Source organism: Homo sapiens, chromosome 19 (assembly GCF_000001405.40).
Source record: "Homo sapiens chromosome 19, GRCh38.p14 Primary Assembly".
NCBI lineage: Eukaryota > Metazoa > Chordata > Mammalia > Primates > Hominidae > Homo > Homo sapiens.
Window position 1 is genome coordinate 4,212,558 of NC_000019.10, and position 25,376 is coordinate 4,237,933.

Sequence of the window (25,376 nt, forward strand, 5' to 3'; positions counted from 1 at the left end):
CTTTCCTCCCAGAGGCAGCTGAGCCTCCACTGCTGCTCCCAGGTGCAAGAGCTACAGCAGTTGCTGGTGGAGAGACAAGAGGAGAAGGAGAGCCTGGGACGGGAGGTGGAGAGTTTGCAGAGCCGGCTGTCCCTGCTGGAGGTAGGAGCAGTGATGAGTCAGGGCTGGGCTGGGGCTGGGTCGGGGAACTTCTCTCCTACAGCAGCGACAAGACAGTCACACCAGTGCATGCACAGCCTCACACACGTGCAAACACACGCACCAGACACATGCACCCACAAACCCACAGTCTTGGCTGGGTGCGAGGGCTTACGCCTGTCATCCCAGCACTTTGGGAGGCCGAGGCGGGCGGATCACGAGGTCAGGAGATCGAGACTGTCCTGGCCAACATGGTGAAACCCCGTCTCTACTACAAATACAAAAATTAGCTGAGTGTGGTGGTGCGCGCCTGTAGTCCCAGCTACTCTTAAGGCTGAGGCAGGAGAATCACTTGAACCCGGGAGGCGTAGTCTGCAGTGAGCTGAGGTCGCACCACTGCACTCCAGCCTGGGTGACAGAGCGAGACTCAGTCTCAAACAAACAAACAGTCCCACAGTCACATGCACCCATGCACATTTACAAATGTGCACAGACACAGAAAGGACCTTCCTTTCTTCCCCTTCTCCTTCCTTCCTTCCCTCCCTCCTTCCTTCCTTTCCTTCTTTCCTTTCCTTCCTTCCTTCCCTCCTTCCTTCCTTTCTTTCCTTCCTTCCCTCCCTCCCTCCTTCCCTTCCTTCCTTTCCTTCCTTCCTTCGTTTTCCTTCCCTTCTTTCTTCCTTTCCTTCTTCCTTCCCTTCCTTCTTTCTTCCTTTCCTTTCCTTTTCCTTCCTTTCTTCTCTCTTTCCTTCTATCCTTCCTTCTTTTTTTTTTTTTTTTTTGGACAGAGTCTCGCTCTGTCACCCAGGCTGGGATGCAATGGTGTGATCTCGGTTCACGGCAACCTCTGCCTCCCTGGTTCAAGCGATTCTCCTGCCTCAGCCTTCCAAGTAGCTGGGTCTACAGCTGCACGTCACCATGTCCAGCTAATTTTTGTATTTTTTGGGGAGTGGGGAGGATGGAGTTTCACTCTTGTTGCCCAGGCTGGAGTGCAGTGGTGCAATCTCAGCTCGCTGCAACCTCCGCCTCCCTGGTTCAAGTGATACTCCTGCCTACCGCAGCCTCCCGAGTAGCTGGGATTACAGGCGCACACCATCACACCCGGCTAATTTTTGTATTTGTAGTAGAAATGGGGTTTCACCATGTTGGCCAGGCTGGTCTTGAACTCCTGACCTCAGGTGAACCGCCTGCCTTGGCCTCCCAAAGTGCTGGGATTACAGGTATGAGCCACCACACTCAGACCCAGAAAGGAGTTTTCTCTAAGCATACGCATCCATGCAGGGATGGATAACCACTCTCTATGCACGTGGCGGAGCATGGTTAACAGCAGGCACACCCACAAACACACAGTTTACAGACACGCAAGAAACAACGTCCAAGAACACATCATCACACACGCATGCATTGCACGTGCACCCGTCTTGTGCAGTCACACACAGACAACATGCCCACAAATACATACACATGCAACAAATATTTCTTTTTTTTTTTTGAGACAGGGTCTTGTTCTGTTGTCCAGGCTGGAGTGCGGTGGCACGATCATGGCTCACTGCAGCCTTGACTTTCCCGGCCTCAAGCAATCCTCTCACCTCAGCCTCCCGAGTAGCTGGGACCACAGGCATGTGCCACCACACCTGGCTAATTTTTTTCTTTTTGGAGAGATGGGGACTCACTATGTTCCCCAGTCTGGTCTCGAACTCCTGGCCTCAAGTAATCCTCCCATCTTACAGGTATAAGCCACCAAGCCCCACCAGTATTTCTGAAAACACACAATTATGCAAACATGTATACATATAGAAAACCATACACACAAACACAGAGATCCACAGGCACATTCAAAACACAACCACACATACACCAGACTAAAACTCAAGCATGAAGCCGGAAACGGTGGCTCACGCCTGTAATCTCAGCACTTTGGGAGCCTGAGGCGAGTGGATCACCTGAGGTCAGGAGTTTGAGACTAGCCTGGCCAACATGGGGAAACCCCATCTCTACTAAAAATACAAAAATTAGCCGGGTGTGCTGGCGAGCTCCTGTAATCCCAGCTACTCGGGAGGCTAAGGCAGGAGAATCGCTTGAACTCAGGAGGCGGAGGTTGCAGTGAGCCAAGATCACGCCACTGCACTCCAGCCTGGGCGACAGAGCGAGACTCTCTCAAAACAAATCAACAAAAAGTCATGCATGTAATCTCACATAGTCACAGGAAGGGAGGGGCCCCCAACCCACAACACTATACCCACACGTATGGTCACAAAGACACACCTCCAGCCAGCTCTTTGCATGCCAAATGGATACTGTCGCATCCACTCTCATGCAGACAAACACACCCACAGGTAACCACAGCCTGCCCCGAGTCCCCTCACCCAGGAGGGAAACGCCCATGGCACATAGGCCAGGAAGCTGGGGGATGCTGGCATACACCATGCATCTGATAAGGAGTTAATAACCAAAATATGTAAGGAATTAATGCAACTCAATACCCAAAAAACAACCTAGTTTTAAAAATGGGGGCAGGCTCGGTGGCTCACGCCTGTAATCCCACCACTTTGGGAGGCCAAGGCGGGTGGATCACCTGAGGTCAGGAGTCCGAGACCAGCCTGGCCAACGTGGTGAAACCACGTGTCACTAAAAATACAAAAATTAGCCAGGCGTGGTGGTACATGCCTGTAATCCCAGCTACTCTGGAGGTTGAGGCGGGAGAATCACTTGAATCTGGGAGGCGAAGGTTACAGTGAGCCGAGATCGTGCCATGGCACTCCAGCCTGGGGGCAAAAAAAAAAAAAAAATAGGGCCAGGCACAGTGGCTCATGCCTGTCATCCCAACACTTTGGGAGACTGAGGCAGGAGGATCGCTTGAACCCAGGAGTTCGAGACTAGCCTGGGCGACGTGACGAGACCGCATCTCTGAAAAAAAAAAAAAAAATTAAAAATTAGCCAAGTATGGTGTTGCACACCTGTAGTCCCAGCTGCTTGGAAGGCTGAGGTGGGAGGATTGTTTGAGCCCAGAGGTTGGAGGCTGCAGTGAACTATGATCGCACCACTGCACTCCAGCCTGGGTGACAGAGTAAGACCCTGGCTCCAAAAAAAAAAAAAGTGGCACGGGGAGTGGGTGGCAAAGGACATGGAAGGTGCTCACTAAATCCTTGTGGGCCAAATGCAGCCATCTGGTGCTCGTGGGAGACATACAGGTATGTGAACAGCCCAGTCCCCACTGGAGTCTTGGTGGGGACACACGGGGGCTGAGAGCAGAACCCCGAGCTGGACTCTGCTCCCTCCCCCCAGAACGAGCGGGAGAATACTAGCTATGACGTAACCACCCTGCAGGATGAGGAGGGTGAGCTGCCTGACCTTCCAGGTGAGCCCCCACCTCCCCACGCACTCCCAGCCGCCTTGTCCCCTGGGGCCCTGGAAGACGGAGCCTCTGGGTGTGGGGGAGTTTGAAGCTGGGAGGGAGGTTTGTACTCATCCGTTTTTTAAATTCTGCTTGGCTGAGCCTGCCCTGGGAACCCTGATCCACCACTCCAGCCCCCCACCTCCTGTCCCCCTGTGGCCCAGGTCCCCAGGGCCTGACTCTGCGTCCCCCTCCAGGGGCCGAGGTGCTGCTGTCCAGACAACTCAGTCCGTCGGCCCAGGAACACCTGGCCTCGCTGCAGGAACAGGTGGCTGTGCTCACCAGACAGAACCAGGAACTGATGGAGAAGGTCCAGGTAGGGAAAGTGAGGCTGGGGACAGATCTGAGGACCTAGGGCTGGTTCCCTGAGGTCAGGGTGGGCAGGGAAGGTGGCAAGGCTGCCCTGTGTCCCCACGGTCACATCAACTCCTGCCAGACTCCTGCCCCCCACTCCACTCCCCAGATCCTGGAGAACTTTGAGAAGGACGAGACACAGATGGAAGTGGAAGCTTTGGCAGAGGTCATCCCTCTTGCCCTCTATGACTCTCTCCGGGCCGAGTTTGACCAGCTACGCAGGCAGCACGCTGAGGCCCTGCAGGCCCTGAGGCAGCAGGAGACACGAGAGGTCCCCAGAGAAGAGGGGGCAGCCTGTGGGGAGAGTGAGGTTGCTGGAGCCACGGCCACCAAAAACGGGCCAACCCACATGGAGCTAAATGGCTCAGTGGCTCCAGAAACCAAAGTTAACGGAGCCGAGACCATAGATGAGGAGGCTGCAGGAGATGAAACCATGGAAGCCAGGACTATGGAAGCTGAGGCCACGGGAGCCGAGGCCACGGGAGCTGAGGCCACAGGAGCCAAGGTCACAGAAACAAAACCCACAGGGGCTGAGGTCAGAGAAATGGAGACCACAGAAGAAGAAGCAAACATGGAAACTAAGCCCACAGGAGCTCAGGCCACAGACACAGAGACCACGGGAGTGGAGGCCATGGGGGTGGAGGCCACAAAAACAAAAGCAGAGGAAGCAGAAATGCAGGCCTACGGAGTGGGTGCTGGGCAAGCAGAGCCCCCAGTCACAGGGACCACAAACATGGAGGCCACGGGCTCTAGGGCCACAGGGATGGAATCCACAGGAGTCAGTGCCACAGGTGTGGAGAACCCAGGGGTAGAGGCCACGGTCCCGGGGATCTCTGCTGGCCCCATCCTACATCCTGGTGCCGCAGAGGCCTCGGAAAAGCTTCAAGTAGAGCTGGAGACCAGGATCCGTGGCTTGGAGGAGGCTCTCCGGCAGCGGGAGCGGGAGGCAGCTGCGGAGCTGGAGGCGGCCCTGGGGAAGTGCGAGGCCGCGGAGGCCGAGGCAGGCCGGCTGCGAGAGCGTGTCCGCGAGGCCGAGGGCAGCGGGGCCAGCGGGGGCGGTGGCGGTGACACCACACAGCTGCGGGCGGCCCTGGAGCAGGCCCGGGAGGACCTCCGAGACCGGGACTCCCGCCTGCGGGAGCTGGAGGCGGCCTCGGCCTGCCTGGATGAGGCTCGGGCCAGCCGGCTGCTGGCGGAGGAGGAGGCGCGGGGCCTGCGGGCCGAGCTGGCCCAGCGGGAGGAGGCGCGGCTGGAGCAGAGCCGGGAGCTGGAGGTTCTGCGGGAGCAGCTGGCCACGGCCAGGGCCACGGGGGAGCAGCAGCGCACGGCGGCCGCGGAACTGGGCCGGGCACGGGACGCCGCTGAGGCCCGAGTGGCTGAGCTGCCTGCGGCCTGCGAGGAGGCGCGGCAGGGCCTGGCCGAGCTGCGGGAGGCCTCCGAGGCCCTCCGCCAGTCCGTGGTGCCGGCCTCTGAGCACCGCCGGCTGCAGGAGGAGGCCCTGGAGCTGCGGGGCCGGGCAGCCAGTCTGGAGCAGGAGGTGGTGGCCACGGGCAAGGAGGCCGCCCGGCTGCGCGCGGAGCTGGAGCGGGAGCGTGTGTGCAGCGTGGCGCTCTCGGAGCACGAACGCATCGTGGGCACCCTGCAGGCCAACGTGGCCCAGCTGGAGGGGCAGCTGGAGGAGCTGGGACGGCGGCATGAGAAGACCAGCGCAGAGGTCTTCCAGGTGAGCAGGGCTGGTCACCACCCGGGCCCCACCCCCATTGGCCACGTGGCGGCCTGTTTTAGCCCCGCAGCCTTGAGGTGTTTTGAACCCATCAGTTTTACTTGAACAGACCTACTTTATTTTATTTATTTATTTATTTATTTATTTATTTTTGAGATGGAGTTTCACTCGTGTCGCCCAGGCTGGAGTGTAGTGGTGTGATCTCAGCTCACTGCAACCTCCTCTTTCCCGGTTCAAGTGATTCTCCTGCCTCAGCCTCCGGAGTAGCTGGAATTACAGGCACCTGCCCCCACGCCCAGCTAACTTTTGTATTTTTAGTAGAGATGGGAGTTCACCGTGTTGGCCAGGCTGGTCTTGAACTCCTGACCTCAGGTGATCCACCCACCTCAGCCTCTCAAAGTGCTGGGATTATGGGCATCAGCCTCCGCACCTGGCCTTGAACAGACATTTGACCCTGCAGCCATCCTGACCTCTTGGAATTTTCCACTTGTGTTTTCTCTCTTTCTTTCTCTTTATTTCTCCTTCCTTCCTCTCTCTTTCCTTTCTTTCTTCATCCCCCTTCCCTCCCCCCTTCCCCTTCCCTTCCTTTCTTTTTTTTTTTTTTTCAGACAGGGTGTGGCTCTGTCTGAAAAGTCACCCAGTCACCCAGGCTGGAGTGCAGTGGCACAATCATAGCTCACTGCAACCTCCACCTCCTGGGCTCAAGTAATCCTCCCACCTCAGCCTCCCAAGTAGCTGGTACCACAGGTGTGCACCACCATGCTCGTCTAACTTTTTAATTTTTTGTAAAGACAGGGTTTTGCCATGTTGCCCACGCTGGTCTCAAACACCTGAGCTCATGGCCGGGCACCGTGGCTCACGCCTGTAATCCCAGCACTTTGGGAGGCCAAGGTGAGTGGATCACCTGAGGTCACAAGTTCGAGACCAGCCTGGACAACATCGTGAAACCCCGTCTCTACTAAAAATACAAAAATTAGGTTGGCATTGTGGCACGTGCCTGTAATCCCAGCTACTGGGGAGGCTGAGGCAGGAGAATCGCTTGAACCCGGGAAGTGGAGGTTGCAGTGAGCTGAGATTACACCACTGCACTCCAGCCTAGGCGACAGAGCAAGACTCTGTCTCAAAAAAAAACAAAAACAAAACAAAAACAAGCAAATAGTAGCCAGGCATGGTGGCACCTGTGGTCCCAGCTACTTGGAAGGCCGAGGTGGGAGGATCACTTAAGCCTGAAAGATTGAGGCTACAGTGAGCCATGATCGCACCACCGCACTCCAGCCAGGAGTGCAGGTCCGGAGCAACAGAGCAAGACCCTGTCTTAAAAAAAATCCAAAAACAAAAGAACAAAGTAGAAGGATCATATGAATTCTGGGGTCTAGCATCATTGGAGTCTTAGTGTCCTGAGAGTCATGCGTGGGCTTGGGCCACAGGTGCAGCGTGAGGCCCTGTTCATGAAGAGTGAGCGACACGCAGCCGAGGCACAGCTGGCCACAGCAGAGCAGCAGCTACGGGGGCTACGGACCGAGGCGGAAAGGGCTCGCCAGGCCCAGAGCCGGGCCCAGGAGGCTCTGGACAAGGCCAAGGAGAAGGACAAGAAGGTGGGTGCCCCCTCTCCCACACTCAGTCAGGGAGGCATCCACTCAGCAAAGGTTGGGGCCAATCTACGAAGGTCCTCACTGCAAGGGCCTTGGAAAATCAACCCATTTTCCAGAAGGGAAACTGAGGCTCAGAAACGGAAGGGGACCTGGTTACAGCCTCTGACAAGTCAGACACACACAGGCTGCTGTTCCAGGTACCAATTATAACCACAGTTACATTTATTTTATTTTTTTACTTGAGACGGAGTCTCGCTCTGTCGCCCAGGCTGGAGTGCAGTGGCATGATCTCGGCTCACTGCAACCTCTGGGTTCAAGCAATTCTCGTGCCTCAGCCTCCCGAGCAGCTGGGATTACAGGCATGCGACACCACACCCAGCTAATTTTTTATATTTTTAGTAGAGATGGGGTTTCGTCACGTTGGCCAGGCTGGTCTCGAACTCCTGAGCTCAAGTGATCCGCCTGCCTCAGCCCCCAAAAGGGCTGGGGTTACAGGCGTGAGCCACTGCGTCTGTCTCCACAGTTACATTTATTGAGTGCTTACTGCATGCCAGGCCCTGTGGACTGGATGCATTTAGTCACATCCAGTTCTCACAGGATAGGGGCTTTTATTATCCCCATTTGAGGAAACAGAAGCACAGAGAGGTGAAGTCACTTGCCTAAGGTCACACAGCCATGCAGTCTTTCAGCTGGGTTTGTACCCACGTTCCCACGTTTCGTTCCTAAACAATACTAATGATGATAACAACAGCCTCCAGGTGTTAGATTGGGAATTTTTCACACATTACCTTTTTTTATTGTTGTTTTGTTTTTTTCTGAGGCAGAGTCTTGCTCTGTCACCCAGACTGGAGTGCAGTGGCGTGATCTTGGCTCACTGTAAACTCTGCCTCCCGGGTTCACGCCATTCTCCTGCCTCAGCCTCCCGAGTAGCTGGGACTACAGGCGCCTGCCACCACGCCCGGCTAATTTTTTTGTATTTTTAGCAGAGATGGGGTTTCACCATGTTAGCTGGGATGGTCTCAATCTCCTGACCTCGTGATCCGCCTGCCTCGGCCTCCCAGAGTGCTGGGATTACAGGCGTGAGTCACCGCGACCGGCCTCACACATTACCATTTTTAATCTTCCTGCAACGCTAAAAGCCAGAAAGCTTTTTTTTTTTTTGGCAGAGTCTCACTTTGTCACCCAGGCTGGAGTGCAGTGGTGCAATCTCAGATCATTGCAGCTTCGACCTCCTGGGTTCAAGCGATCTTCCTGCCTCAGCCTCCTGAGTAGCCAGGACTACAGGTTACAGGTGTGTGCCATCATGCCTGGCTAATTTTTTTGTTTCTTTCTTTTTTTTTTGAGAGAAAGTTTCACTCTGTCGCTCAGGGTGAAGTACAGTGGCATGATTTTGGCTCACTGCAACCTCACCTCCCGGGTTCAAGAGATTCTCCTGCCTAGCCTCCCGAGTAGCTGGGACTGCAGGCGAGTGCCACCACACCCAGCTAATTTTTGTATTTTTAGTAGAGACTGGGTTTCACCATGTTGGCCAGGCTGGTCTCGAACTCCCGACCTCAGGTGATTCAGCCTCCCAAAGTGCTGGGATTACAGTCATGAGCCACCGTGCCTGGCCTGTTTTTTTTTGCTTTTGTTTGTTTGTTTGTTTGTTTGTTTGGTAAGAGATGGGGTTTCACCATATTGCCCAGGTTGGTCTCAAACTCTTGAGCTCAAGCGATCTGTCTGCCTCAGCCTCCCAAAGTGGTAGGATGACAGGCGTGAGCCACCGCACCTGGTTTCAGAAAGTATTTTTGTCCCCATTTTCCAGATAAGCAAACCAAAGCTTTAAGAGATGAAGTGAGTGGCTCAAAGTCACGCAACATGTCACTGGACAGGAGACGAGACACCCAGAGTCCCAGGCGCTTCAGCATAAAGAATGACCCAGCCTCGACTCACTGTGGGACCTTAGACCAGACACTTCACCTCTCTGAGCTTCAGTTTCCCCTCTGTAAAGGGAGGGCAAAATTGCAGTTAGGATGATGGTTTATCTGTAGCCTGGTTTCTTCCCTTGCACACTGTGGACATAGGAGCGGGATCATTTCCTGGGCTGGGGCCATCTGGGCATTGTAGGGGACTGAGCAGCGTCCTTGACCTCTACCCACTCCAAGCCAAGAGCTCCTCCAAGTCGTGACAACCACAGATGTCCCCACACAACACCCAGTGTCCCCTTGGGGGGCAGAATTGCCTCAAGTTGAGAACCCCAGATCTATAGTAATAATAAGGCCCGGCATTTATTGAGTGCCTACTGTTGACTAGGCACAGTTTAAACTTAATCTCTGTGCAGGATCACAGCAACTACTAAGTTAAGAACTATTGGCCGGGCGCGGTGGCTCACGCCTGTAATCCCAGCACTTTGGGAGGCCCAGGCAAGTGGATCACCTGAGGTCAGGAGTTCAAGACCAGCCTGGCCAACATGGCGAAACCCCGTCTCTACTAAAAATAGAAACATTAGCCAGATGTGGTGATGGGCACCTGTAGTCCCAGCTACTCAGGAGGCTGAGGCAGGAGAATTGCTTGAACCTGGGAGGCGGAAGTTGTAGTGAGCTGAGATCACACCACTGCACTCCAGCCTGGGCAACAGAGCGAGACTCTGTCTCAAAAAGAAACAAACAAAAACAAAAAAATGTGAAAACCAACCTTAGCTTGTGGGTTGTATAAAAACAGGCTGTGTTGGTAACCATAAGCATCTAAAATATAAATAAATACAATTAAAACAGGCTGTGGGCCAGACGTGGCCCTCAGGCCAGAGTTTGCTAACCCCAGGGACGGGACCTTCCCTTGAAAGCCTTTATCCCTGGCCTCTTCCTGCGGCTGCAGAGAGGTCCTCAGCCCCCAGCTCTGGGCTTAGGGTGATCGCTGACAGCACCTGCACCCTCAGATCACAGAACTCTCCAAAGAAGTCTTCAATCTTAAGGAAGCCTTGAAGGAGCAGCCGGCCGCCCTCGCCACCCCTGAGGTGGAGGCTCTCCGTGACCAGGTGAAGGATTTACAGCAGCAGCTGCAGGTAAGGACTGGGCCACGCAGGGGCCAGGGGACCATCAGGGTGGAGGAGTCCAAATATTTACCAATCAGCACAGCGCAGGTGGGAATCCCAGGAGAGGGGCTGGGGTAGGCAGGTGGGGTCCACATCACATGCACGGCATGGCCAGGAAATACTTCCTTTATTTTTTTTGAGACAGGGTCTCACTCCATCGCCCAGGCTGGAGTGCAGTGGCACAATCTCAGCTCACTGCAGCCTCCACCTTCCGGGTTTAAGCAATTTTCATGCCTTAGCGTCCTGCGTAGCTGGAATTACAGGCACGCACCACCACACCCAGCTAATTTTTGTATTTTTAGTAGAGATGGAGTTTCACCATGTTGGCAAGGCTGGTCTTGAACTCCTGGGCTCGCATAAGCCTCCCAAAACGCTGGGATTACAGGCATAAGCCACTGCTCCTGGCCGCCCTCTGCCTTTTTTTTGGACATAGGATCTTGCTCTATTAGGCTGGAGTGCAGTGGTGCAATCATAGCTCACTGAGCAGCCTCAAACTCCTGGCCTCAAGCAGTTCTCCACCTCAACCTCCCAAAGTGCCTGGCCATACATATATATATATATATATATATATATATATTTTTTTTTTTTTTTTTTTGAGCCAGTCTCACTCTGTCACCCAGGCTGGAGTGCAGTGACACGATCTTGGCTCACTGCAACCTCTGCCTCCCGGCTCCCGGGTTCAAGTGATTCTCCTGCCTCAGCTTCCTGACTAGCTGGGACTACAGGTGTGAGCCACCTTGCCTGGGAAATTTTTTGTTTTTTTTGAGTCTCACTTTGTCACTCAGGCTGGAGTGCAGTGCACGATCTCAGCTCACTGCAACCTCCGCCTCCCGGGTTCAAGCGATTCTCCTGCCTTAGCCTCCTGAGTAGCTGGGACTACAGGCATGTGCCACCACTCCCGGCTAATTTTTTTTACTTTTAGTAAAGACGGGGTTTCACCATGTTAGCCAGGGTGGTCTTGATCTCTTGACCCTGTTATCCGCCCGCCTTGGCCTCCCAAAGTGCTGGGATTACAGGTGTGAGCCACTGCACCTGGCCAATTTTTGTATTTTTAGTAGAGACGGGATTTTACCATGTTGGTCCAGGCTGGTCTTGAACTCCTGACCTCAAGTGAGCCACCCACCTCAGCCTCCCAAAGTGCTGGGATTACAAATGTATGCCACTATGCCCCGCCATATTTTCATATTTTAGCAGTCGGCCATCAACGTACAGGCTTGGGGTGCAAAGGGTGCTTTTTGGTGTGTTTTGCTCAGTGGGGAGGTGCTCCTGCTCTTCTGAGCGCCCCTTCCTCATGCCCACAGGAAGCTGCCAGGGACCACTCCAGCGTGGTGGCTTTGTACAGAAGCCACCTCCTATATGCCATTCAGGTGAGTGGCCCAGCTCCTGGGTACCCGGTGGCTTTGGGCATACCACTGTTGCTCTCTGAGCCTCAGTTTCCCCTTCTGTACAGTGGGAGGCTGGTCTGGGGAGAGGTTCGTGGCATGTGGGAGCCCCCCTGTGTGCATTTCCCTCCTGGCTGGCTTGGTCTATGGGAGTGGTGGAGGGACTTGGGGCAGCCATGGAGGGTATACTCAGGGTCTTCCTCTACTCCCCCAACCCTAGGGCCAGATGGATGAAGATGTGCAGCGGATTCTCAGCCAGATTCTGCAGATGCAGAGACTCCAGGCTCAGGGCCGCTGAGAAAGGCCAGGCCCAGTGGCTACACTGACCACACCCACGCAGGGACCTCACCCCCCTGCAGGCCCCTTGCAGACCGGCTTCACTTGGCTTCACTTGGCCCTATCCAGGCCCATGCACTTGGAGACCAGCCTGGTTCCCTGCCCGACCACCCCCAGCTGGCTCCATCACCCCACCTGGTCTCTGCACGCACACACTGGTCAGTCTGGACCCGGGCCGTGACTGCCCCTCCCCCACCACCGGAGACTGTGATTCCCTGTGTCCTCCACATCCAGACGCCAGCCCAGGAATAAAGGCATTCTGTGCACAGGGCCAACGCGTGCCGTCTCGTTGCTGGGCTTCCACTGCGGGGAGCGGAGAGGGTGGCCCAGAAAAGGAAGCGCTCACACCCCTCCCCACCTACCCCACGCCACAAATCAGCCATCAGGATAAACCCCATCTTTTTTCTTTCTTTTTTTTTTTTTTTTTTGAGATAGAGTCTCGCTCTGCCGCCCAGGCTGGAGTGCAGTGGCGCCATCTCGGCTCACTGCAAGCTCTGCCTCCTGGGTTCACGCCATTCTCCTGCCTCAGCCTCCCAAGTAGCTGGGACTACAGGCGCCCGCCACCACGCCCGGCTAATTTTTTATATTTTTAGTAGAGACGGGTTTCACCATGTTAGCCAGGATGGTCAATTTCCTGACCTCATGATCCACCCGCCTTGGCCTCCCAAAGTGCTGGGATTACAGGCTTGAGCCACCGCACCTGGCCTCTTTTATTTTTTTTTATGCGGAGTCTCCCTCTGTCACCCAGGCTGGAGTGCAGTGGAGTAATCTCGACTCACTACAACCTCTGCCTCCCGGGTTCAGGTGATTCTCCTGCCTCAGCCTCCCGAGTAACTAAGATTACAAGGCATGTGCCACCACACCCGGCTCATTTTTGTATTTTTAGTAGAGACAGGGTTCCACCATGTTCGCCAGGCTGGTCTCGAACTCCTGACTTCAGGTGATCCATCCGCCTTGGCCTCCCAAAGTGCTGGGAATACAGGCATGAGCCATGGTGCCCGGCCTTTGGATAAACTCCATCTTAATGCAATATTTCAAAAAGGCAAAATGGGTGCAAAAAAAGTGCATGCTGAACTAAGTATGGAAATGTTAAAGAAAGGCAGGCTTGGCCGGGTGCGGTGGCCCATGCCTATAATCCCAGCATTTTGGGAGACCAATGTGGGAGGATCTCTTGAGCCCAGGAGTTGAAGACCAGCCTGGGCAACATGGGGAAACCCCCATCTCTATCAAAAATACAAAAATTAGCTGGGCATGGTGGCGCGCACTTGTGGTCACAGCTACTCAGGAGGCTGAGGAGGGAGGACCGCTTGAGTGCAGCAGTTAGAGGCTGTTGCACTTCAGCCTGGGTGACAGGGCAAGACCCTGCCTCTAAAAAAAGATTTAAAAAAAAAAAAAAAGGAAAGAAAGATACTTTCCTAAATCCTAAGGCTGGCCATGGTGGAAGCCCCCTACCCCCAGCCTCTCCCTGCCCCTTGGCAACTCCCCCGAAATCCCCACGGGTTTCTTGGCATTTTTCAGCAAACAGAGGGGAGGCAGGAGTGGGAGCGGGGATCCCCGAGCCTGTCCAGCCTGCCCCTGGGGGTTTCCTTGTTCCTGGGCATCCTGATCGCTGGGATATCTGCGGTGGCAGCTGCCTCCCCTGGCCTGCGCTCCTGTGTCTCTCTCTGTCTCTCTTCTCCATGTCTCTGTCTCTCTCTTTTTTTTTTTTTGAGATAGATTTTCGCTCTTATTGCCCAGACTAGAGTGCAATGATGCGATCTCGGCTCTCTGCAACCTCCACCTCCCGGGTTCAAGCAATTCCCCTGCCTCAGCCTCCGGAATACCTGGGATTACAGGCACGTGCCACCATGCCCAGCTAATTTTTGTATTTTTAGTAGAGACGGGGTTTCACCATGTTAGTCAGGCTGGTCTCGGACTCCTGACCTCAGGTGATCCACCCATATTGGCCTCCCAAAGTGCTGGGATTACAGGCGTGAGCCACCGCACCCAGTCTCCACGTCTCTGTCTCTATCTCTTGGTCTCCATCTGTCTGTCTTGCTGTTTTGTCTGTCTCCCTGTGTCTTTGTCTGTGTCTTCCTCCTCTCTTATCTCTGTCTCTCTGTGTTTCTTTTGCTCTGTCTCTGTCTCTCTCATGTCCCCATCTCCCATCTCTCTGTCTCTTTCTATCTCTGTCTTCTTTTTTTTTTTTTTTTGAGACGGAGTCTGGCTCTGTCGCCCGGGCTGGAGTGCAGTGGCGCCATCTCGGCTCACTGCAAGCTCCGCCTCCCGGGTTCACACCATTCTCCTGCCTCAGCCTCCTGAGTAGCTGGGACTACAGGCGCCTGCCACCACGCCCGGCTAATTTTTTTGCATTTTTAGTGGAGACGGGGTTTCACCATGTCAGCCAGGATGGTCTTGATCTCCTGACCTTGTGATCCGCCCGCCTCGGCCTCCCAGAGTGCTGGGATTACAGGTGTGAGCCCCCACGCTCAGCCTTTTTTTTTTTTTTTTTTTTTGACACAGAGTCTCACTCTATCTCCCAGGCTGGAGTGCAGTGGCGTGACCTCGGCTCACTGCAACCTCCTCTCACTGCAACCTCCGCCTCCCAGGTTTAAGCGATTCTCCCACCTCAGCGTCCCAAGTAGCTGGGATTACAGGTGCGCACCACAACGCCCAGCTAATTCTTGTATTTTTAGTAGAGACGGGGTTTCACCATATTGGCCAGGCTGGTCTCGAACTTCTGACCTTGTGACCCGCCCGCCTCAGCCTCCCAAAGTGCTGGGATTAGAGGCGTGAGCCACCACACCCGGCCCTCTGTCGTCTTCTCTTATCTCTCTGTCTCTCTTTCTGTGTCTGTCATCTCCCCGTATCTCTATTTCTGTCTTCCTGTCTTCTTTCTGTCTCTCTTTTGTCTCTCTTTCTCCATCTCTGTCATTGCCCCATCAGTCTTTTTGTTGTTGTTGTTGTTCTTTTTGAGATGGAGTCTCACTCTGTCACCCAGGCTGGAGTGCAGTGGTGTAATCTTGGTTCACTGCAACCTCTGCCTCCCAGGTTTAAGTGATTCTCCTTCCTCAGCCTCCAGAGTAGCTGGGATTACAGGTGCCTGCCACCACGCCCAGCTAATTTTTGTATTTTTAGTAGAGACAGGGTTTCACCATTTTGGTCAGGCTGGTCTCGAACTCCCAACCTCAGGTGATCCATCTGCCTTGGCCTCCCAAGGTGCTGGGATTACAGCCGTGAGCCACCGTGCCCCACCATCTCTCTATCTCTGTCTATCCTACTCTCTCATCTCTGTCTCTCTGTCTCTGTCTCTCATCTTCCCATCTGTGTCTCTCTTTCTCTGTCTTCCTCCCTTATCTCTGTCTCTGTGTCTCTCTCATTTCCCTATCTCTGTCTTCCTCTCTTATCTCTGTCCCTCTGTCTCTCTTCCTCTGTCTGTCTGCTCTCTGTGTTTCTCTTTCTGTTTCCATCATCTCCCTGTCTCTCTCTGTCTCTGTGTCCTCCTCCTCTCATCTCTGTCTCTGTCTCTCTCATTCCCCTGTCTCTCTCTGTCTCTATCATCTCCCTATCTATCTCTGTGTCCTCCTCCTCTCATCTCTGTCTCTCTCTGTGTTTCTGTCTCTGTCATCCCCCTTTCTCTGTCTCTGTCATCTCCCTGTCTCTCTATCTCTGTGTCCTCCTCCTCTCGTCTCTGTCTCTCTGCCTCTCTCATCTGTATCTCTCTCTGTCTCTGTCATCTCCCTGTCTCTGTCTCTCTCTATCTCTGTGTCCTCCTCTCATTTGTCTCTCTGCCTCTCTCATCTGTATCTCTGTCACTTTCTCTGTCATCTCCCTGTCTCTCTATCCCTCTATCTCTGTGTCCTCCTCTCATCTGTCTCTCTGCCTCTCTCATCTGTAGCTCTCTCTGTCTCTGTCATCTCCCTGTCTCTCTATCCCTCTATCTCTGTGTCCTCCTCTCATCTGTCTCTCTGACTCTCTCATCTTTGTCTCTGTCTCTGTCTCTGTCATCTCCCTGTCTATCTCCGTGTCCTCCTCCTCTCATCTCTGCCTTTCTCATCTCTGTGTCTCTCTCTGTGTTTCTGTCTCTGTCATGCCCCTTTCTCTGTCTGTCATCTCCCTGTCTCTATCTATCTCTGTGTCCTCCTCCTCTCATCTCTGTCTCTCTCATCTGTATCTCTCTCTGTCTCTGTCGTCTCCCTGTCTCTCTATCTCTTTGTCCTCTTCCTCTTGTCTTTCTCTCTGCCTCTCTCATCTGTGTCTCTCTCTGTCTCTGTCTCTGTCATCTCCCTGTCTCTGTCTCTCTCTCTCTGTGTCCTCCTCCTCTCGTCTCTTTCTCTCTGCCTCTTTCATCTGTGTCTCTGTGTCTCTCTGTCATCTCCCTGTCTATCTCTGTGTCCTCCTCCTCTCGTCTCTGTCTCTCTGCCTCTTTCATCTGTGTCTCTCTGTCTCTGTCTCTGTCATCTCCCTGTCTCTGTATCCCTCTATCTCTGTGTCCTCCTCTTCTTGTCTCTGTCTCTCTGCCTCTCTCATCTGTGTCTCTCTCTGTGTCTCTGTCTCTGTCATCTCCCTGTCTCTCTGTGTCTTCCTTCTGTCTTCTCTGTCTCTCTGCCTCTCTCCCCCATCTCTGCCTCTGTCTCCCTCCATGTCCCTGAGCCCCTGCCTGCCTGCCTGGGGTTTCCCCCGCTTCAGGGCAGCGGAAGGAAGGCCAGCAGGACATGCTGTGCTGGGAAAAGCCAGCAGGTCTCCACTTCTCCCTTTCACAGCCTCCTCCCCCGCCCCCACCCTCGGGGCCTTCCGAGCAGGGGTGGCCTGTGCTCCCCAGGGGGCTGGGGCTCCTCCACACCCTAATTCATCTCCCTAGCGGCCCCACGAGCCCCACCAGTGAGTCAGACCTGAAGGAAGTCGGGGAGGGGGCGGGCCTTGACCCTGGGCTGGGCTTTCCCCTGGGCAGGTCCCAAGTCCTCACCTCCCCTCTCAAGTCTCCCACGACGTTCCCACCCACTCCTGAGAGCAGAGCTGGCCGCAGCCATGACCCCGCAGCTTCTCCTGGCCCTTGTCCTCTGGGCCAGCTGCCCGCCCTGCAGTGGAAGGAAAGGTATGTGGGGCCCCTGGGGGACTGGGGGGCCCAGGCAGACGGACATGACACGAGGACTGGCCTCGGATCATGTCTGGGGTGGGAAATCACATCCTCCCGTGCCCAATGGTGGGATGGGGTTACCCTCCCATTGTACAGATGGAGGAACTGAGGCACAGAGAGGCAGAGTGCCACATTGGGGGTGGAAGGATGTCACCTTGTGGGTGATAGGGACTGGCAGTCACAGCTCAGAGGTATCCATAGAGCTACACAGACATAGCTACACAGACATGCGAATTTGAGTCACACTCATTCCTTTGGTTTCTTTTTGGTTTTGTTTTTTGAGACAGAGTCTCACTCTGTCGCCCAGGCTGGAGTACAGTGGCACCATCTCAGCTCACTGAAACCTCCATCTCCTGGGTTCAAGCGAGATTCTCCTCCCTCAGCCTCCCGAGTAGTTGGGATTACAGGTGCCCGCCACCATGCCCGGCTACTTTTTATATTTTTAGTAGAGATAGGGTTTTACCATGTTGGCCAGGGTGGTCTTGAACTCCTGACCTCAGGTGATCCACCCACCTCGGGCTCCCAAAGTGCTGGGATGACAGATGTGAGCCACCGCGCCCGGCCGACATTCATTCATTTTGCACTAGAGAACATCTCCATGTCCTTGAAGACAAAATGGTTACAGCAGGGCATGGTGGCTCATGCCTGTAATTCCAGCACTTTGGGAGGCCAGGGCGTGAGGATCGTGAGGCCAGGAATTCGAGACCAGCCTGGGCAACATAGTGAAACCGGACCCCACCAATCTGTACAAAAAATTAAAAAATTAGCTAGATGTGGTGGCACGTGCCTGTAGTCCCAGCTACTTGGGAGGCTGAGGTGGGAGGATAATTTGAGCCCAGGAATTGGAGGCTGCAGTGAGCTATGATTGTGCCACTGCATTCCAGCCTAGGTGACAGAGTGGGATACCTTGTCTCAAAATAATAATAATAATAATAATTTATAGGCTGGGTTTGGTGGCTCACGCCTGTAATTCCAGCACTTTGGGAGGCCAAGGCAGGTGGATCACCTGAGGTCAGGAGTTTGAGACCAGCCTGGCCAACATGGTGAAACTCCCTCTCTACTAAAAATACAAAAATTAGCCAAGCGTGGCAGTACATGCCTGTAATCCCAGCTACTCGGGAGGCTAAGAATCGCTTGAACCCGGGAGGCGGGGGTGGCAGTGAGCCGAGATCTCGCCACTGCACTCCAGCCTAGGCGACAGAGGGAGACTCCCTCTTTAAAAAAAAAAAACAATTACAAAAGAGAGAACACGGTAAAATCTCTCTCTCTTACCCGAGTTCCTCTCTGTAGATGCTTAAACCTCAGCTTCCCTATCTGGAAAATGGGCTAGTAGTCCTCACCTAGATGGATTGCAGTGGGGATAAAAGATGACAGATGACTTTTGTCCATGTACCTATTTATTCCGAAAGCCTTTATTAGGCACCTACCATGTACCTGGTGCTGGCTGGCAACGTGGCAGGAGCCCAGCGCACGGGAGGGCTATGACAATCTGGGGGTAAACCAGAAGCTCACTCTTTCTGTCTTCCTCCAGGGCCCCCAGCAGCTCTGACACTGCCCCGGGTGCAATGCCGAGCCTCTCGGTACCCGATCGCCGTGGATTGCTCCTGGACCCTGCCGCCTGCTCCAAACTCCACCAGCCCCGTGTCCTTCATTGCCACGTACAGGTCGGAGAGCCTGGAAGGGGGCCTCAGGGACACTGGACTTCCTGGAGAGCCCAGAACTCTGGCCCTGAGAGCCCTGGGGTCAGGAAAACTGGAGACCCCGACATCCTGAACCCCAGGCCTATGGAATTCTAGGGCGGCCCCGTCCAATAGAAATATACTTTCTGGGCCAGGCACAGTGGTGCATGCCTGTAATCCCAGCGCTTTGGGAGGCCGAGGTGGGCAGATTGCTTGAGGTCAGGAGTTTGAGACCAGCTTGGGCAACGTAGTGAGACACTGTCTCTACGAAAAATTTTAAAAATTGGTCAGGTGCAGTGGCTCATGCCTGTAATCCCAGCTACTCCGGAGGCTGAGGCAGGAGAATAGCTTGAACCCAGGAGGCGGAGGTTGCAGTGAGCCAAGATGGCACCATTGCACTCCAGCCTGGGCAACAGAGCAAGACTCCATCTCAAAAAAAAAAAAAAAAAACTACTTCCTGGGTTGGGCACAGTGGCACATGCCTGTAATCCCAGTACTTTGGGAGGCTGATGTGGGAGGATCACTTGAGGTCAGGAGTTTGAGTCCAGCTTGGGCAAAATAGTGAGACCCTGTCTCTAAAAACAATTTTTAAAATTAGCTGGGCATGGCCAGGCGCGGTGGCTCACGCCTGTAATCCCAGCACTTTGGGAGGCCGAGGTGGGCGGATCACAAGGTCAGGAGATGGAGACCACCCTGGCGAACACGGTGAAACCCTGTCTTTACTAAAAATGCAAAAATTTGCCAGGTGTGATGGCACGCGCCTGTAGTCCCAGCTACTCGGGAGGCTGAGGCAGGAGAATTGCTTGACCCAGGAGGTGGACGTTGCAGTGAGCCAATATTGCATCGCTGCACTGCATCCTGGTGATAGAGTGAGACCCCGTCTCAAAAAAAAAAAAAAAAAAAAAAAGAAAAGAAAAGAAAAGAAAAGAAAAGAAAAAATTTCGAAAAAGAAAAAAAAATTAGCTGGGCATGTTGGTACTTGCCTGTAGTCCCAGCTACTCTGGAGGCTGAGGTGGGAGGATCACTTGAGCCCAGGAGTTTGAGACCAGCCTGGGCAACATAGCAATATCCTGTCTGTACTTAAAATCAAAAAAATTAGCTGGATGTAATGGCACACATCTGTAGTCCCAGGTACTTGGGAGGCCGAGGTGGGAGGATCACTTGAGCCCAGAAGTTCAAGACCAGCCTGGGCAACATACTGAGACCCCCCCCCATCTGTAGAAAAAAAATTTAAAATTAGCCAAGAGTGGTGATGCGTGCCTGTAGTCCCAACCGCTCTGGAGGCTGAGACAGGGAAGATCCCTTGAGCCAGGAGTTCAAGGCTATAATGAGCTAGGATCATGCCACTGCACTCCAGCCTGGGCGCCAGAGGGAGACCCTGTCATGAATGAATGAATGAATGAAGGGATGAATTAATGAATGAATGAAGGAATGAATTAATGAATGAATGAAGGAATGAATTAATGAATGAATGAACGGATGAATGAATGAATGAATGGATGGATGAATGAATGAATGCTGACATCCCAGAAACCTTTAGAATCCCGGACCCTAGCATCTAGCTTGGGTTGTAATCCCCGACCTGAACCATCAGGGGCACCGTGATGTTGGGGCCCATGCCCTGCCCCCGGGGGGTGGCACGGCCACCACCAGGACCCCACCCCGGGATCCCCATCCGCTGCCCCCTCCTGTTCCTGCCTCTCCTTGGGGTCCCGGGTCAGGCCCGGCAGTAGGAGGTGCTGAGGCCACAGGCACTCCCTGAGGCGCTCAGCGAGCCCCACCCTGTGCAGGCTCGGCATGGCTGCCCGGGGCCACAGCTGGCCCTGCCTGCAGCAGACGCCAACGTCCACCAGCTGCACCATCACGGATGTCCAGCTGTTCTCCATGGCTCCCTACGTGCTCAATGTCACCGCCGTCCACCCCTGGGGCTCCAGCAGCAGCTTCGTGCCTTTCATAACAGAGCACATCAGTGAGTGGGGGCGGCAGTGGGGGCGGGGGCGGGGCTGCCGTCTCCTTCCAGCTCCCCCCACCCCACCTCCCACCTGTCCTCCAGTCCTGCGGCTGCACCTTCACACTTAAGCAAAAATCTGACCCCTTCTTCCCCCTCCTCTACCAGTACGTGGAGCACCCCCATCATTGACAGCCCAGTCCCCTCCATCCTGAGCCCTGGCCTCCACAGTCTGTCCTTCCCACAGCAGCCACCAGAGGGCGCCTGAGAGCACCTGAGTCAGGGCACGTCCCTCTGCCTACAGCCCTCCATGGCTCCCACCTGCCTTGGGGTCAAAGCCCAAGTCCTTCCTACTGCCCACCAAACCCTGGACAACCTGCCCTGTCTCCTCCATGCCCTCCCCTCCTCCCTGTCTCCCCCTTGCTCACTCTGCTGTGGCCACATGTGATTCCTTGATGTTCAACATGCCAGGAATAGTTCTGCCCCAGGGCCTTTGCATGGGCGGTGCCCTCTACCTGGAACACCTTCCCCCAAATGTCCCCATGACTTATTCCCTCACCTCCTTCGGGTCTCTGTGCATACATCACCTCCTCAGTAAGACCTCTCCTGAGTAGATTATTAAAAATTGCAAGCTCTGGCTAGGCTCAGTGGCTCACACTTGTAATCCCAGCACTTTGGGAGGCTGAGGCAGGCCGATCACCTGAGGTCAGGAGTTTGAGACCAGTCCTGGCCAACATGGTGAAACCCTGCCTCTACTAAAAATACAAGAATTAGCTGGGCATAGTGGCAGGTGCCTGTAATCCCAGCTACTCAGGGGGCTGAGGCACGAGAATCACTTGAACCCAGGAGGTGGAGGTTGCCGTGAGCTGAGATTGTGCCACTGCATTCCAGCCTGGGCGAGAGAGCGAGACTCTATCTCAAAAAACAAAACAAAACAAAACAAAAATTGCGGCCACTGCCATTCCTGCACTCCCCAGCTTTCTTCCCTATTCTGTGTGACCTATGGATTTGTTTATTTCCTGTCTTCCCCCTGATGGATTGTGAGTTCCATGAGGACAGGGGTAGGTCAGTTAAGGTCACTGTTTTGTCCCCTCTGTGGCAGCCCCAGGCACACAGTTTCTCAATAAATATTTGTTGGTTGAGCCAGGCATGGTGGCTCACAACTACTCGGGAGGCTGAGGCAGGAGAATCGCCTGAACCTGGGAGGCAGAGGTTGTAGTGAGCTGAGATCACGCCGCTGTACTCCAGCCTGGGTGACAGAGTGAGACTCCGTTTCAAAACAAACAAAATATATACATAATATGTTGGTTGAATGAATGAGTGAATGAATGAATGACTGGACTTACTGTCCCCTGACCCTGCTTCCTGCTTGTCCGTCAGTCAAGCCCGACCCTCCAGAAGGCGTGCGCCTAAGCCCCCTCGCTGAGCGCCAGCTACAGGTGCAGTGGGAGCCTCCCGGGTCCTGGCCCTTCCCAGAGATCTTCTCACTGAAGTACTGGATCCGTTACAAGCGTCAGGGAGCTGCGCGCTTCCACCGGGTGAGGAGGATGAGGGGGAGGCTGGAAAGGGTGGTGCCTGGCAGAGGGAATGGTTTTTACCAAGACTAGCAGGTGTGCTGGGCTCTTGCACATAGCTTGCGATTCCGGGTGCATTGAATAAGAGCAGTCCAGCAATCTGATTCCTAGGCCTCTACCGAAAAGGATGGAAAGCAGGGACTTGCACAAGCTGTCGCACACCCGTTTTTGTTGTTATTGTTTTGAGACAGAGTCTCGCTCTGTCGCCCAGGCAGTGACACAATCTCGGCTCACTGCAAACTCCGCCTCCCAGGTTCAAGCGATGCTCCTGCCTCAGCCTCTGGAGTAGCTGGGATTACGGGCACGTGCCACTATGCCCGGCTAATTTTTGTATTTTTAGTAGAGATGGGGTTTCATCATGTTGGCCAGGCTGGTCTCGAACTTCTGATCTCAGGTGATCTGCCTGCCTCGGACTCCCAAAGTGCTGGGATTACAGGCGTGAGCCACCGAATTGTTCACTTTATTGATTGATTGATTGAAACAAGGTCTAGCTCTGTCACCCAGGCTGGAGTGCAGTGGCGCGATCTTGGCTCGCTGAAACCTCCGCCTCCCAGGTTCAAGTGATTCTCCTGCCTCAGCCTCCTGAATAGCTGGGACTACAGGCGCCCACCACGCCCGGCTAATTTCTGTATTTTCAGTAGAGATGGGATTTTGCCATGTTGCCCAGGCTGGTCTCAAACTACGGAGCTTAGGTGATCCACCTGCCTGGGCCTCCCAAAGTGTTGGGACTACAGGTGTGAGGACTTCATCTGGCCAGAATTAGCCATTTTAAAGTGAACAATTCTGGCTGGGCAGGGTGGCTCACACCTGTAATCCCAGCACTTTGAGAGGCCAAGTTGGGAGGATTGCTTGAGTCCAGGAGTTGGAGACCAGCCTGGGTAACATAGTGAGACTCCCATCTCTACAAAAAATTTAAACATTAGTTGGGTGTGGTGACACACACCTGTACCCCCAGTTACAAGAGGCTGAGGTGGGAGGATCACTTGGGCCTGGAAGATTGAGGCTGCAGTGAGCCGTGTTGGCACCACTGCCTTCCAGCCTGGGTAACAGAGAGAGACTCTGTCTCCCAACTTAAATAAATTAAATAAAATAAAAAGCACGGTTAGGCTAGGTGCAGTGGCTCATGCCTGAAATCCCAGCACTTTAGGAGGCCAAGGCAGGCAGATCACTTGAGGTCAGGTGAAACCCCATCTCTATTAAAAATACAAAAATTGGCCTGGCGCGGTGGCTCATGCCTGTAATCCCAGCACTTTGGGAGGCTGAGGCAGGCAGATCACGAGGTCAGGAATTCGAGAACAGCCTGACCAACATGGTGAAATCACAGCTCTACTAAAAATACAAAAATTAGCCGGGTGTGGTGGCGGGCGCCTGTAATCCCAGCTACTCAGGAGGCTGAGGCAGGAGAATGGCTTGAACCCGGGAGGTGGAGGTTGCAGTGAGCTGAGATCATGCCACTGCACTCCAGCCTGGGTGACAGAGTGAGACTCCGTCTCAAAAACAAACAAACAAAAATTAGCCAGGCATGGTGGCGGGCGCCTGTAATCCCAGCTATCTGGGAGGCTGACGTGAGAGGATGGTTTGAGCCTGGAGGCAGAGGTTGCAGTAAGCCAAGATTGCCCCACTGCACTCCAGCCTGGGCAACAGAGTAAGACTGTCTCAAAAAAAAAAAAAAAAAAAAAAAAAGCATGGTTAATATAGTGGGACCAGGGGTAAAGGGAGGTATGGGGTCCTATCCCAGAGGTCCTGGTTTAGTCCCAGGGAGGAGAAAGAAGAGGATTATAGGGATCAGGGATGTCCTGATGAACAAAGACCCTCCTGGGTGAGACATCCACAGGGGCTAGTGTGGTCCAGGAAGGATTCGTAAGAGAGGTGGCTCTGGGGGCCACACAGACAGAGGCCGGGATTGGGAGGAGCCCATGATGCTATTTGGGGTGGGGCCGCACAGCTGGGGCCAGAGTCCTGGACTGGAGCCTGCAGGGGGCAGGGAGGACTGCACGCTCCGTTGTGTGGTTCTGTGCACAGTGGCCCCTCTCCATCTTCTGGTTCTAGTGACCTGACGCTCTCTCTTCTCTCAGGTGGGGCCCATTGAAGCCACGTCCTTCATCCTCAGGGCTGTGCGGCCCCGAGCCAGGTACTACGTCCAAGTGGCGGCTCAGGACCTCACAGACTACGGGGAACTGAGTGACTGGAGTCTCCCCGCCACTGCCACAATGAGCCTGGGCAAGTAGCAAGGGCTTCCCGCTGCCTCCAGACAGCACCTGGGTCCTCGCCACCCTAAGCCCCGGGACACCTGTTGGAGGGCGGATGGGATCTGCCTAGCCTGGGCTGGAGTCCTTGCTTTGCTGCTGCTGAGCTGCCGGGCAACCTCAGATGACCGACTTTTCCCTTTGAGCCTCAGTTTCTCTAGCTGAGAAATGGAGATGTACTACTCTCTCCTTTACCTTTACCTTTACCACAGTGCAGGGCTGACTGAACTGTCACTGTGAGATATTTTTTATTGTTTAATTAGAAAAGAATTGTTGTTGGGCTGGGCGCAGTGGATCGCACCTGTAATCCCAGTCACTGGGAAGCCGACGTGGGAGGGTAGCTTGAGGCCAGGAGCTCGAAACCAGTCCGGGCCACACAGCAAGACCCCATCTCTAAAAAATTAATATAAATATAAAATAAATTAGCCAGGTGTGATGTTGCGCGCCCACAGTCCCAACTACTTGGGAGGCTGAGGTGGGAGGATCACTTGAGTCCAGGAGGTTAAGGCTGCAGTGAGCTGTCGTCACACCACTGCCTTCATGCCTGGGCAACAGAGCAAGACCCTGGTTTTTTTGTTTGTTTGTTTGTTTGTTTTAATCATAGTTGAGGCCGGGTGCGGTGGCTCGCGCCTGTAATCCCGACGCCGAGGCGGGCAGATCACGAGGTCAGGAGTTCGAGACCAGCCTGACCAACATGGTGAAACCCGGTCTCTACTAAAAATACAGAAATTAGCTGGGCATGGTGGCCTGAGCCCGTAACCCCAGCTACTCAGGAGGCTAAGGCAGGAGAATCGCTTGAACCTGGGAGGCGGAGGTTGCAGTGAGCT

The 25,376-nt window shown here is 54.2% G+C and overlaps 2 protein-coding genes across 18 annotated transcripts in view, besides 4 other annotated features; both read left to right on the forward strand.

Annotated features, from left to right (window-relative positions):
* The window catches only part of ANKRD24 (ankyrin repeat domain 24), a 42,126-nt gene extending 29,869 nt beyond the window's left edge, over window positions 1-12,257 (forward strand). For all 17 annotated transcript variants that reach the window (XM_011527761.2, XM_011527756.3, NM_001393985.1 and 14 more), the window contains 8 exons: window positions 43-141; window positions 3,421-3,493; window positions 3,727-3,845; window positions 3,993-5,606; window positions 7,034-7,201; window positions 10,113-10,238; window positions 11,570-11,635; window positions 11,871-12,257. In XM_011527761.2, the coding sequence (XP_011526063.1) occupies window positions 43-141; window positions 3,421-3,493; window positions 3,727-3,845; window positions 3,993-5,606; window positions 7,034-7,201; window positions 10,113-10,238; window positions 11,570-11,635; window positions 11,871-11,948 (2,343 nt within the window). In that variant the 3' untranslated portion in view covers window positions 11,949-12,257. The remainder of the gene's footprint in view (window positions 1-42; window positions 142-3,420; window positions 3,494-3,726; window positions 3,846-3,992; window positions 5,607-7,033; window positions 7,202-10,112; window positions 10,239-11,569; window positions 11,636-11,870) is intronic.
* Window positions 3,623-4,122: an enhancer, noted in NCBI's record as "H3K4me1 hESC enhancer chr19:4216177-4216676 (GRCh37/hg19 assembly coordinates)". NCBI's record gives its function as "activates a minimal SCP1, AML or CMV promoter by ChIP-STARR-seq in naive H9 embryonic stem cells {active_cell/tissue: H9 hESC(naive)}" and the evidence as "EXISTENCE:reporter gene assay evidence [ECO:0000049][PMID:30033119]".
* Window positions 13,951-14,151: a silencer, noted in NCBI's record as "peak3273 fragment used in MPRA reporter construct". NCBI's record gives its function as "represses an SCP1 promoter by STARR-seq MPRAs in K562 erythroleukemia cells {active_cell/tissue: K562}" and the evidence as "EXISTENCE:reporter gene assay evidence [ECO:0000049][PMID:32103011]".
* Window positions 16,966-24,971, forward strand: EBI3 (Epstein-Barr virus induced 3). Its single transcript, NM_005755.3, has 5 exons — window positions 16,966-17,060; window positions 18,634-18,766; window positions 20,572-20,750; window positions 22,110-22,267; window positions 24,379-24,971. The coding sequence occupies exons 1-5, from the start codon at window positions 16,994-16,996 to the stop codon at window positions 24,529-24,531; spliced, it is 690 nt and encodes a 229-aa protein (NP_005746.2). The 5' UTR covers window positions 16,966-16,993; the 3' UTR covers window positions 24,532-24,971.
* Window positions 17,186-17,275: an enhancer, noted in NCBI's record as "active region_13762". NCBI's record gives its function as "activates an Ori minimal core promoter by ATAC-STARR-seq in GM12878 lymphoblastoid cells {active_cell/tissue: GM12878}" and the evidence as "EXISTENCE:reporter gene assay evidence [ECO:0000049][PMID:35858748]".
* Window positions 18,239-18,740: an enhancer, noted in NCBI's record as "H3K27ac hESC enhancer chr19:4230793-4231294 (GRCh37/hg19 assembly coordinates)". NCBI's record gives its function as "activates a minimal SCP1, AML or CMV promoter by ChIP-STARR-seq in primed H9 embryonic stem cells {active_cell/tissue: H9 hESC(primed)}" and the evidence as "EXISTENCE:reporter gene assay evidence [ECO:0000049][PMID:30033119]".
* Window positions 24,972-25,376: the final 405 nt, after the last annotated feature.

What these genes read in the sequence shown, in the direction of transcription:
- EBI3 (NM_005755.3), top strand. Translation starts at nt 16,994, where the DNA reads ATGACCCCGCAGCTTCTCCTGGCCCTTGTCCTCTGGGCCAGCTGCCCG. An exon ending in TTTCATAACAGAGCACATCA is followed by an intron (nt 20,751 to 22,109) that starts GTGAGTGGGGGC and finishes CTTGTCCGTCAG; the next exon opens with TCAAGCCCGACCCTCCAGAA. An exon ending in GAGCTGCGCGCTTCCACCGG is followed by an intron (nt 22,268 to 24,378) that starts GTGAGGAGGATG and finishes CTCTTCTCTCAG; the next exon opens with GTGGGGCCCATTGAAGCCAC.